General features: G+C 34.3%; 1 protein-coding gene across 7 annotated transcripts in view, besides 1 other annotated feature; it reads left to right on the top strand.

The window, feature by feature from the left end:
* Positions 1 to 13,808, top strand: part of PCDH9 (protocadherin 9) — a 927,503-nt gene that overhangs the window by 41,969 nt on the left and 871,726 nt on the right. The window lies entirely within an intron of this gene.
* Positions 930 to 1,502: an enhancer, noted in NCBI's record as "OCT4-NANOG hESC enhancer chr13:67760998-67761570 (GRCh37/hg19 assembly coordinates)". NCBI's record gives its function as "activates a minimal SCP1, AML or CMV promoter by ChIP-STARR-seq in naive H9 embryonic stem cells {active_cell/tissue: H9 hESC(naive)}" and the evidence as "EXISTENCE:reporter gene assay evidence [ECO:0000049][PMID:30033119]".

The raw sequence follows: 13,808 nt of genomic DNA, 5'->3' as shown, positions 1-13,808 counted from the left end.
AATCTTTACTTTGCATCACATTTTTAGATTCAATAAAGATTAGGACGTTTAGATGATAGAAATTGACAGGGTTGCATTTGACATAAAATATCTTTTATAATAATACTTGTATAGCACTGCTGACATAGCAAGGTAAGCGACTTGCCATTTCAGTAAACTCAGAAATCTCACATACATACACAGAAATTCGCATGATAAGCATATGACACAGGTTTTTTCCAATTTCTCCTGAATGCTCTATTAGTCAACTGTAACATATAAATTGTCTTATTGGTTTTATTACTGTATATTTCTCATGAAATTTTTACAATTCTATTATACTCTTGAAATTCATTAGGAGGAGTGAGATCTAGTGTTCGGTACCAACTATAGTCACAATGATTACAGTACAGGGTGACTATAGTTAACAATAATTTATTGTTTATTTCAAAATAACTAAAAGATTAAAATTGGAATATTCCTATCACAAAAAATTGTAAATGCTAGAGGGGATGGATATCTCAATTACCCCATTGGATCGTTATACATTGTACACTTGTATCAAAATATCACATGTACCTCATAAATGTGTACAACTGTTATGTATCCATAATAATTAAAAATTAAACATTAAAAAAATTCACTTTGTCCTTTGGAGAACATGGGCTTTAAAATCTCTAAATCTCTATATTGTGAATATAGTTGCATTTTCTCATCTATATTAAAAATATAAATAAATATGATTTCTAAATTTTATTACAATCAATAATCATAGAACTGTGATAATATTTGTGATTATGCATATTTAGGTATAGAGTTGTATAAAATGTAGGATGCAGCTTAATAAGAGCATTAGTTGATCAGTTGTATTTTAGAAAAATAGCATTTTGTAGCTGTACCATTTAAAGATGTTAGAAGGTCTTCTACTGGAAATAGAAACTGTCTCTAAGGAAACCCACTAGCTAATCCTCTCAGGTTATAGCAAGCCATACTATATAAATCAAATCCATTCGCGGACACTTTGGTGCACATTTCTATACTCTGCCTTTCCTCTATCCCTAGAGGTTCAACAAGACACGGGGAAAGACAGCTGTGATTGTTTTCAGTTACTGAAGAAAGAGGCTTTTATATTTACTAGGAGGATCAGAGAGGCATCCTGCAACCTGGAGAGCTCCCTTGACTCCAAGTTTTAAGTCGTTGGGTGTGTTTGTTCTTTGTTTGTCTTTCACAGCGTCATGGAACAGCATGACCATCATGTTCAGCTTTGATGCCTGTGGGGGATAGGTTAGATATAAGACACAATACAGAGAAAGGCTTAATGCATTTGTATTGAAAAGTTTAGAGGAAAAATGTGAAATTGTTTGCGTCCACATAAATTGAAAGAAACAAACCAATGAAATACTTGTAAGTTGCTGTTAAAGTTAATGATGTCTCCCTCTCTTTAAAGACTCATTGAAAATGGTCTTAATATTTCTGTTTTTGCTTTATAATACTGTCTTTTTTGTAGATGTTAACAGCTGAGCCTTATAAAGCCCATGAATTTTCCATGTCTGAAGCTTAATGGTCAGTTAATGTGTATATTTATTTTAAGGGTATAGCAGAACAATATGTTAAAAAATAAACATTAGTATATCTAATGAATTACACATTAATTTGTTAGATTCAAAAGAGAATGGGATATGTAATAATGGGATATGTAATATTATTATCCAGATGATTTTTTACCAGTGGAAAATAATTTTCCCTTTCCTCCTTACTTTAATCATCCTAGTCTTTTCTTCTTGTGGTAGATCATTAAACATTAACTAATTCTATTTAAGGACTTGCTACTCAAAATGCAGTCTACCCATGAACCAGAAGCATTTGCATTAGCTGGGTGCTTGTTAGAAATGCAAAATCCCCACACCTACTGGATCAGAATCTGCATTTTAACAAGATTTCCAGGTGATTACGATGTACATTAAAGTTTAAGAAGCAGTTCTTTATTATAGTATGAATTATTTTGCTGTAGACATTTCCTCGTCCCCTACATACGTTTTTGGTTCCTGAAATGAAATTGTGCTTTTCTAGTACATAAAACAATCAATTCATGAGTTTTCAACTTTAGAATCACTCAACATATTCAAAGGTGAATCAATATAAATTATTTTCAGATTATCCTTATCCTTTAAGATTATATTTTTAATAAAAGTATACACTCTTATGATTCAAAAGAGAATGGGATATGTAATTCTTCCCAACAGCCGATTGTTTCATATTGATTGGTAACCTCTTTATATTTATATATATAAATATTTTACACCAGAACAAGTTTTCACTTTTGAACAATCTTAAATGCTTATTAAAGATGCTTGCAGGGTCAGGCACAGTGGCTCATGCCTGTAATGCCAGGACTTTGGGAGGACAAGGCAGGCAGATCACCTGAGGTCGGGAGTTTGAGACCAGCCTGACCAACTTGGAGAAACCCTGTCTCTACTAAAAATACAAAATTAGCCGGGTGTGGTGGCTCATGCCTGTAATCCCAGCTACTTGGGAGGCCGAAGCAGGAGAACTGCTTGAATCCGGGAGGCGGAGATTGCAGTGAGCTGAGATTGTGCCATTGCACTCCAGCCTGGGCAACAAGAGTGAAACTCCATCTCAAAACAAAAACAAAAACACAGAAATCTTCCATACGTTTAACTATTTTTAATTCCAGAAAATAATTTGGAAAGGAATTCCATTTAAACTTGTGTGTCAAAAGATGTATCATTAATGATAAAAACTAATATATTGAACAAACATTTCTTTTTAACTTAACCAATTAACTTATTTCTGGATCATACATTTTTAACCCTACAGTAGAGAAGCACTGAATTTTGAAAGTAAAGTATAGGATTAAATAGAGATTTTCAAAATGTCATCAAATTCTTCTTAAGAAATCTATTATGTATATTACACAAAGTAACTTACAGCCCTACATTTTAAAATTTCTTACATGTAGCTACTTGTTACAGCATAGTACAATATTAATGCATTTTATTAAATTCTGTGCAAAGAAAAATAACGTAATTTTGAAGTTGCTATTTCCTCATACACAGTTGATGATGATTTTTAACTACTATTCACTAAACAAAATGAAAGAATACCTAAAATTAAGCAATGAGAGTAAAAATCTACATTGCAGAAACATTGTTAAACAAAGTATAACATGAGAATATAACAAAACATAATATCCTTGATGGTGATGTTATTTTCTTTCCTTCTTTTCTAATGGACTACAAACAATATATTTATTTTAATTGCCAGGCTCTCTAGTAGATCAAATATTAGTGCAACATTCACTCACTGCTCTCCAGGGCATTGCTAGGTATAGGAGTTACATGAATGGTAGACAAGCAATTCTCATCAAAGGTAGTATGTGACAAGTCTTGCCTATGTAGTACGGAGATTCTGTGAAAGAAGTTATCGCAGTCAACAGAAAGGACCAAAAAGGGATGTATTAAGATGAGGTTTGAAGGATGAATAATCTTTTGACAGGTCAGAAAAGGTCACTCCTCGTGAATAGAAAATAGTGAAAAACTGCACTATTTATAGAATTTTTGGTTTTATTTACTAAGATCCAATACATCAATACCCCTCACCCTGCCCTTAGGGTTTTATTTGTTTGTTGGTTGGTTTTTAGACAGGGTCTCACTTTTTCACCCAGGCTGGAATGCAGTGGTGCGATCTCAGCTCACTGCAGCCTCAGCCTCCTGGGTTCAAGCGATCCTCCTGCCTCAGCCCCCCAAGTAGCCGGGACAACAGTTGTGTGCCTCTAAGCTCCGCTAATTTTTGTTATTTTTTTATAGAGACGGGGTTTCACCGTATTGCTCTGGCTGGTCTTGAATTTCTGAGCTCAAGGAGACTGCCCGCCTTAGCCTCCCAGAGTTCTGTGATTACAAGCATGAGTCACCATGCCTGGGCCCTACCCTTAGTTTTTGAAACCTGTACCTCCATAAATTCACAGAGATCTGAATGCGGATCTAGTAAGATTATCACACAGTCAAAAGGCAAACATGATTCAGAATTAGCACAGAATTTTTGGCATGAAAAGGAACTTACCTCCTTTTCTTTCATTATAACCTTCACCTTCACAAGTTTTGTTGTTAAACAAGCTGTATGCCTTAATTTCCAGTGTTGTTCCCTGTGTCATTTGATAGAATGGTTTAGACACCAAGCATCTGAAGGAAGTTATAACCTACATTTTTACTAATCAGGTGGTTGTGAAGTAAAGACTAAGGAAAGAGACACTATTCTCTTTATTTTTTGCGCATGAAACATAGAAAATTTATACCGCAAACACTAGATGTTTTAAAAGACGCAAATGCAACATTCAGGATACTAGTTTTCTCATAAACATACTTTTAACAGAAGAATCAATGAATGATCATAGGACGATTTGCAAATATGTCTGAAAATTTACTGCAAATCTGCATCTTAATATGCCTAGTGTTCCATTATTGGAATGCCACGTAACTCACCAAAGGGACATAATATTTTTTTTCTTTTTAAATTCTTGTTCCTTGAATTTTTCTAGGTAACACATGTAAATTTCATGCAAAAATTCAAAACATTGCAACCTCAGTCGTAAACAGGTTAAATCTTATTTTCTAATCATTGAAAGTGTTTTTCCAAATTTTCTTAAATTATTATTTTAAAATATAACAGTGATCTTTCATTATAAAAGTAAAAAATATCAACATTGCTTAAACACCATTGGTCCTTTACCTTAAACAACATTCATCATATCTTATTTGGTTTTTTGGTTTTGATTTTTTAAAAAATAAAATGTATAATATACAAAAGTGTTGTAATTAAACTGATTGTCTTTATTCACACTTTTCTGAGTACTCTGCTTTAACCATATCTCAAAGACCCAAGAGAAACATAATAAAAATAGCAGCTGAGATATTTGGAGTTACAGATAAATTTGGAGTCATAGTTTGAAGTTATAGATTCAAAAGAAAAGACAGGAAGCAGACTTGTGAATGCAGGAACTTGAAAGGGAGCCAATTCATAGCAGACTTTTTCAAAAATATATTTACCTACACTACCCCAAATTCCACTTCACATGCTTAGTTTTGTGTTTTTTTTCTTAATAGTTAGGAGTCCATGGTTGGACGTGGTAGAAATAGATTTGATTCCTGACAGTTGCTTACTTTCTAGTTTGGGGGCAAAACTTTAGGCTCTCTGATCCTTAGTTTTTGCAGTGTTTGGTAGTGAAGTTCAGAAGTACTTAAAGTGCCAGGCATAAAATAGTAGTAATTATTATGATTATTTTATTATCATTGATAATGTCTATAGTAGTAGTAACAGTCATAGAAATCCTTACAATCTATAGATTAATTAATTACAATTATTCCTTCCAACACCTAGCTAAGAAAATTGCACTAAGGTAATAGGGCCATTCTTGTTCATTTTCCTTTTTCAGGAGATTGAAAAGATAGTAATTTTAGAATTTAGATCCTTCCTACATTGATCCTTCCAACATTCCATGGAAATTAGGAATAGTAGTGAAGAATTTATGGCATAATGAGAACACCTGGGGACAGGCAGAGTGGCATGTAAAGGAAGAGGGTACCCCAGAATAAATTTTATCCATCTCCTAATTTTTCCAGGAAGAATTAGTAAACGCTATTCTACTTCTTTCACCCAATGGCTTCTTAAGTCTGGGTGGTAACAATTTACTGTCAGTGTAAATTTTTCAACAGAGATCAGTTGATTTAATCAGTAAAGATTTATATTGCATCCTAAGTGGGAAGAAAAGTGACTTACAGTTTTCAGCAGAGGGATACCTTAATCTGACCTATGATTTTCATTTTTTTTTATTTTTAGAGAACATTTCGATTACTATGTGTAGAACTGACTTTAGTGAGGAAAGAGTGAAATAATAATACATATAATGATAGTTTGGACTAAGATATAGCGAAAAAAGGTGGTAAAGAATGGTGAGATTTTGGATATGTACTGCATATGTGTTACAGCCCATATGGCCTGTAGACAGATTAGATGTTGGGGTGTGAAGGAAAGAGAAGATTTGTGTCTAACCTCTCAACTCCATGTTTTTTCACTTTAATGACAGGGGAAATTGGGAAATTTAGGTCTGGAACATATTCAGGTGAAAAACTGAGAGTCCTGTTTTAGGCAGGATGATTAAAATGTCTACTAGGCATCTAAATAGAAATATTATGGAGGTAGTTTAACTTATGAGTCCTGAGAAGGAGGATATAGCAGGATATACATATTTGAGACCCATCACTGTGTTGTTTAAATGCCCTGAAACTTGAAACTGATGTTGGTAACAAGTGAAAGAAGAGATCCAGGGGCAGAGCCTTGAGCCATGCCCACATTCAGAGGCAGGAGGAGAGGAACCACCACAGGACACAAAGGACTGGTCAATCAGGTGAAGGCCAGACTGGGGACTGTAGTGTCCTAGAAATTAAGTGAAGAAAATGTTCCTGAAAAGAAGGTGATTTGCTGTTTAAATGTTGCTGAGGAGGCACGAGGGTGTTAGAAGACAGAGAATAAACCATTGGAAGATAGGTATTGCTTGTATCTTGAGAAGAATGGTTGTAGAAACAACTTATTTTGTAGTGGTGTTTTTTTTTATGGCCTAATTTTTAGTCACTTTTGTGTCCATTTGGTAATTTTTAAATAAACAGCTCTATTACACTGTCCCTCCTTCTTTCCAAGATTCACTTACTTTGCTTTGATTTCATATCCACTTATAGAGCTGGCATCCACTGAAATTCTTTCCCTGTTTAGGATATGTGCACAGAACTTTGTATCACCTCCATTACACTGTACCTACAAAGCATTATTATGTCATACCATATTAGCAAGTTAGAAAATAATTTAACCTTCCCTGCTTTCTAGTTGTCTTGATATTCATTTCACAAACATATTTTGAAAACGGTCTGTGTGATTTTTCTACCCATTCCTCTCTCCTCTCTCTCCTGAACCTCCTGTGATATGAATTTCCTCTACGGCTTATGAAATCGCTCTGCTTAATGACACCAATGATTTCCTAAAAACTAAGACCGATAGCTTCTTATGATTATTCTCCCTATGCAGCTGCTTTAAGTAGAAAGTTGAAAAAAAATTATTTGCACTATATGCAAGTTTGATTTACCATGACTTAAATTTCAATAATAAATCCCCAGGAACTCCTCTTTTGACTTAAGCTTTTCATAGACACTAGTTTGAAAACCACTGATCTAGAAAACCAGCATTATGTTAATGCCTTTTATAGAGGACCGCACCTAAGGTAAAGGCCAAGCTGATTGTCTCTGGGTTCCGACACATCTCCCACTGTTAAATTTCACATTAATTTGAAATTGATTTTTAGTAATTAAAATCACAGTTATATTAGCCTCTTGACACAGATTTAAAATGAAGAGCTTTAACTTTATAAACGATAATGCTTATTGCAGTTGATGGTGCTAAAAGGTAACAATACAACTCTGTAAATACATTTGGATTGCTATCCCTGAACATGAGCCAGCATCATAATCTGCTTATCAGTGAGAAATGTTCAGGGAGTGTGAAATTCAACAAGACAAGCCAAAGAAAATTAATTCAGACTTGCCTCAGAAATGCCAATTGACCTAATCTTCCCAATCTATTAATTCTGAAGGTAGAAGGAGCAATAGATAGAAAAGCCTAGAGGGTAATCACAATGACACAAGACTTAGGAGCAGCTCACAAAGTTGGCTCCGCTCGTGAAGACCAACCAGGGAATTTTGAATAGTTATTTTAAATGGACATAGGCCATGCAGAGTCTTACAGGTCAAAAGCAAAATCCAAAAATCAATAACAAAAAGTGAATTAGGGAACTTGAAGATATAAATAATGTGATGGTTTGATTTAATACAAGTGACTCCTGGAGTGGGAGGCATCCTATAATAACAGCAGAACCATGTCTTTCAGTGAGCCATACAGGAGCCCAACAGTGAGCTTCACTGGCAGATTTGGAGATAATAAAAGCTTTGACTCATAATACTTATAAAATGGTGTAACTGTAAAAAAAAAAATCCTCAAAATTGGCGCTAGCGACATAGCCTACAGATTGCATTTGTGAGTTAAAACTTGCAGGCTTCAAGCTCTGCAGCCAGTCTATTCTTTCATTTTCCATTACATACAATAAAGCAGAAAATATACATAATTAAGGAGATAAAACTGATCTTCTAGGATATATTACAGATAGTTGAAAAGCATCTCAGTATATCACACTTAAATAAAATAGTCATTAGCTCTTTCATCTACCTTCCAAGGCAATCAAATTTTGTAGAAAAAATTCTAAGAGATATTTTCTACTGGTCATTTGGTGATTTAAAAGTTCTAATCTAGATGAAGAATTGACTATATATGCAAAAGTGTATAAACTTTAGGTTGGAGTTACCTTGGGTACCTGAAATACAGATCATACATTTCTTAGCCAACTATAGTTTTGAGTCTATATTGCAATCAATATTTGCCTTTCTGTTCTACTTCTCTTTTCCCTTACCCTTAACCTTGACTTTGAAATAGTTTTAAATATGAAATTCCCAAGAGAAGTAATGATAACACACCCAAGAAATTGAACAGAAAAATGGTGTAGCCTAGGTGATTTTTTAAATAATTTCTCTCCAAAATAACAACCCTTATTTACAGATAATCTGTACAATATTTACTTCATAAATGATGACCTTATGAAAACTTCTCTTATTGCTAGCTTCAATTCTAATAGAGTATGACAGGCATAAAAACTAGATTTAATGCCAGTAATTATTATAAATTAAATAAAAAGTGGTTAACACTAGAAATCTGTTTGTGCTTAACCTGGTTTGTTAGGATATAGTCCCTGTAGTCTTGATTTGACCTATAAGCTAGTTACTCTAGCAATGCACTTCATAGTCATTGAGCAGTTGTGTACGGAATATGTATTGGCTGATGGTCTGTGAATACATTGCTATGGATCAATCACAGCCACTGACTCTATGACAAGCACCTTTAACTATTTAAGTCTGAATGATCCCATCACAAAGATTAGTTGTGCAGATGTTTAAATTAAAAAGAATAAAATTTCTACATGGAACTTTGGGTCTGACAATTCTGAAAGTGAACACTGGCTCTGACAACTACTATGGGCATTGAACAATAACTAGGTGACCTCTCTAAACCTCAGTTTCCACCTCTGTAAAACAGAAATTTTACTAATTCCGAGTGGCTAAAAAAAATGCCAACCCAACACAGTGCCTAGGACATAGTAATAATCAACTATGTAGCCACACTCTTCAAATGTTTATTGAGCAATTATTATGTTCCACAACTGTGTTTAATTGGGGGATATAAGCATAAATGCACAAGTTTATATTTAACATTTTTGTCCTCATGGACTTTACAGTAGAACTGGAAGGAAAATTAAGTAAGCCTTTGCATTGTTTTATTTTTGGTAAGTATAGGGTATCAAGAGTTTTTATAGCCAGGATACTGATTTGTCATTCTGTTTGAGCTCAGGAAAGTCTTTCTCCTGGATGAGGTGGTTTTGAGGAATTTAAAAATGAAATTATTTGTGTAAATCTTTACTCAATGTTTGGCACAAAATCCTCATACAGCAAATGTTTCCTAGCATTAACATGTTTAAGATGAGATCTAAAAGTTCTAAATCCAGTAGAACTTAAATGACAAAGAAAAGGGGAAAGGTGATTCAGGAAAATGCAACAGCATACGCAGAGACCTGGGGTGAATAAGAGTGGCACTTAAGAGGAGTTTAAAACATTGGATGTGGCTGCTACTACATACACAGACAAAAATGAACACAGTATTCAAGGCTCAAGTTATGAAGAGGCAAATTATAAACTAAGAAAATGTAGACATTTTTCTAAGTTGCAGTGGGAACACACCAACATTATTATTGTAAACAGTTGACATAATCAAATGCAGAAATCACAATAGTAAGAAATAGTTTTTGGATGTTAGATAAATAGTTATTGTGTGCTAAATATCTCATTTATTCTTTCCAATATATTATTGACCCTTATTTTACAGTTGAAAGACTTGAGACATAAAGAAGTAAATGATTTGCCAAACATTGTACAACTGCAGGGTGAAAATGGAATTCTAACATATTTTAGTTTGACCTTTAACTTTCATAGTATCTTTTTCCCCATCTTAGTGATCTCAGCAAGATCTCTCTTGGTATACAGATAGGTAAGGTAGGAGATGGGAGCAGTAAGAATTCAAGACATAATATCATCTGCAGTAAGTGAGGTAGAGAAGAAAAGGACAACCTTGGGAGATACTTAAAGTCAATAGCATTTAGTGCCTGTTTGTATATTGTACAGTGAGATGGATGTTTCAAAGATGTTTTCCATGCCAGGCTTGGGCAGTTGGGCAGGTATTGCTTTCCCTTATTGAGCAGGGCAACATACACAGAAGATTGATCTTAGGAGTGGAGGTTAGAAATCATGGGTTCAATTTGGACATTTTGAAAAAAATTGTGTAGTCATCAGCCTTCAAATGTTTATTGAGCAATTATTATATGCACTGGGCTCAATTTTGGACATGCTGAGATTGAAGCAACTGGCATATATCCAAGTTGAAAGGTCCAGTGTTAGCAAAGTAGTATGTTTTACTGTCTGAAAACAGAGATTTCAGGACCATCAGTGGTAACTGGTAACAAATAGTATTTGAACGCTTGCCTGCAAGAGGTTATGAGAGGACAATGGAGAGAGACAACAACATAGGGGAATCAACACCAATATTCAAGCATTATGCACAGAAGTAAGATTGTAAGGTTGTATCTTCAGAGATGGGCAGAGGAATGGGGTGAGGAGTGAAATGGAAAGACAGTGTTATCAAAGAGATCAACAAAGGAAAGAGGGTCAAAGTGTCAAAAGCTGTCAAGATAAAAGTAAAGTAAAGGCTGATAAATTAACTCGATTTGGTAAAGAGCCTCTTGGGAGATAAATTTCAACAAAGTGGCAAAATCCACCTGGCATACAGCCAATTGAACAGAAAATTGGAGTGAAAGAAATGGAGAAGGAACAAAGAGTTTTTTCAAGAAAATTGATTCTGAAAGGGAGGAGAAGATATGGAAGCTTGGAGAAATGACAGGTGGCAGGGGGGTTTCATTTAAAGAGAAAAAATGTGAATTATTTAATAACAAGAAATGATAGGTGTTTTCAATTTAATTTTTAATAAAGTGAATCCAAATCCTGAAAGTGGTAGATCAATATTAGAAATCTTGTATTATTTCTAAGTAGTCATAGAAATAATTAAGGTACTTTATTGAATACTTGCCATGGGCTGGACCCAGTGTTCCTTATTCACAATAGATACTTTAATTTTCATAACAGACAAGGTAGCAATGCTTATTGCTTCCATTGTTTGAAAAGAAGAAATTATGACTAAGAGAGATCACACATTTAGTAACGAAGGCAACTCAACTGTTGTACTGTCTTTCTTACCCAACAGCAAATCCCTATAGCATATATTCTTAATTATTTTGTAATAAGATCACAGGCATACTACCTTTATTATATTAGATAAATGAAAGTAGGATAGATTTTTAGAGGGAGGGTTGATAAAAGTATCCTCACATGACTTAAAAAAAGAGAATGCCTATGTCTGTGACAAAAAATGTCCCATGAAAGAGCCAGATGGGTATTGGGATGGGTACAATTACATAAAGAGGGGGGAAATAATGTATTCTTACTTGATGTTCTATTATAGATAATATATATTCATTTTCACTTTGTCTAAAAATATTAGTACTACAGGAAAAGTGAAGCTCTGTAGGACTTTAGCTGAAGCATTTCTAAATATGTTTCTTTGTCCTAATAGAGATTCTTTGTTTTTTTTTTGTTTATTTTTATTTTTGAAAACCATTCAAAGGGTGCTTTAATAAGTGTTTTTATAGTAGAATGATTTTAGCCAGAAACCTTAACACTGAATGGAAAGTATCTTTCAGTTCAAGAGGAGATAAATGAAGAGAGTGGGGTAAAATGCTTGTGCACAGACCCAGGCAGATCATCTGGTTAAGCATGGGGGATTGAACCTGAAAAGATTTATGGGCCCCTGAGCAATTTGCTTTATGCTGGTAATAATTGGAACACCACTTATTCTCTACTTCCCTTATTAACTTTCTCTGCATCACCGCTCTTTTTGAGTTCATCTATCTTAATGAAATATCCATCTTCTGTCTTTCTTTCTTGCTTTACATTTTAGGCCTTATAAAGGATTGAAACTAGTTTTCCCAGTTGGACACATTCGCTAGCCAGAGGCCAACTTTGCTTCCAAGTTAGACTCAATGCAATTTTCCCCATTAGGCATTTGTTTCATTGTCTACATGAGAGTAATAAAACTTATCAGCTAGCTCAATCAAACACATCAGCTGGAAACATCTTCTTGCTGTGAATGAACAGACCAGTTTTTTTTTTTTAATGGTTTACTTGGATTGTGTTGTTAGAACAGTCTGGATCTGTTATTTGAATATTAGACACATTCTCTATGTCTGAATTTTGGTGCATCTCTAAAATCTAAAGAATGCTGCATTTTATAGAGGTAAGTAGATCATAATTCTCTTTAGAACTAGTTAAGGGAGATAGAATTGGAGGTATGAGTTTTAGGTGAGTTTAGACAGTTACAGAAATAACTATATTCTATCTGTAACCAATTTGAACAATGATATAGTTTTCATTTCTCTTTCTCATCCTAAGGGAAAATGTATTTATGAAGCCTTTTTCATTCATCTAAGATACTCCCCAAATCCTGAATGGGAAGGACTAATGTATGGGTAGTACAGTAAGCAAGTGTGAGGTGGAAATAGGTGAGGAAATAAGAAGCCAAATCTCACCCAACACAAACATCCCCATATGTATTCATGGGTATAGACCTGCTGTCTATTTGAACTTTTTCCATTGTATAGCCCCTGTTTGTTCCAGGCCCTGCTTGTAGTGTTTCTGTAGGTAGTTAAGGTGGTTTATGTGTGAGAATATTGGTTGAGGAAGAAGTTTATAATTACTTTCACATAAGATGCTTTATTTGTTATTATTTTTAGATTGTGATGGGTAGAAACGAAGTAAGTTTCCTTTATTTCTGGGATTACAAAAATTACTTTCCTACGACAGTAACTACTTTTAGTCACTGGAAAGCTTCTTTCTCTGAAGATTATCATAAGTCTCTCAGGAATAAACACATATTGTCCAGAGCTTGGAGAGGATCCTTAAAAACATTTTTTATTTCATTTTTTAGAGACAGGATCTCTTTCTGTCACCCAGGCTGGAGTGTGGTGGCATGATTAGGATTCACTGCATGCTCCACCTTCTGGGCTCAAGCAATCCTCCCATCTCAGCCTCCCAAGTAGCTGGGACTATAGGCTTGTACCGTCACTCTGGGCTAATTTTTTTTTTTTTTTTTTTTTTTGGTAGAGATGAGGTCTCAAAATATGGCCCCATCTCAAACTCTGGGCTCAAGCAGTCCTCCAGCCTCAGCCTCCCAAAATGGTGAGATTTAAAGACCTATTGAATTTAATTTAACAAAGAAAGTTTGCTTCTATCCATATCTAGATATATAATGCAAAATTTATCTGCAACCTTTCAATCTGATAAAGAAATGACACTTTATGAAAGAACATTTAGCATTGTTTAGATCAAAGTCAGTGAATAAGTCTTTTTCCTGACACAAAAGAGGCTTTGGTTCTTTATAAATTTACAATGACTCATTAAACATCAATTTGACATTAAAACAAAGTAAGTAAATTGAAAGCTAGTTTAAGAAGAAAATAAGAAACCTGGATGCATGCATCAGCCTTGTATTGCTATAGGAGC

Source organism: Homo sapiens, chromosome 13 (genome assembly GCF_000001405.40).
Source record: "Homo sapiens chromosome 13, GRCh38.p14 Primary Assembly".
NCBI lineage: Eukaryota > Metazoa > Chordata > Mammalia > Primates > Hominidae > Homo > Homo sapiens.
Note: the sequence above shows the minus strand (reverse complement) of the source record. Positions and strands in the feature narration are given on the sequence as shown.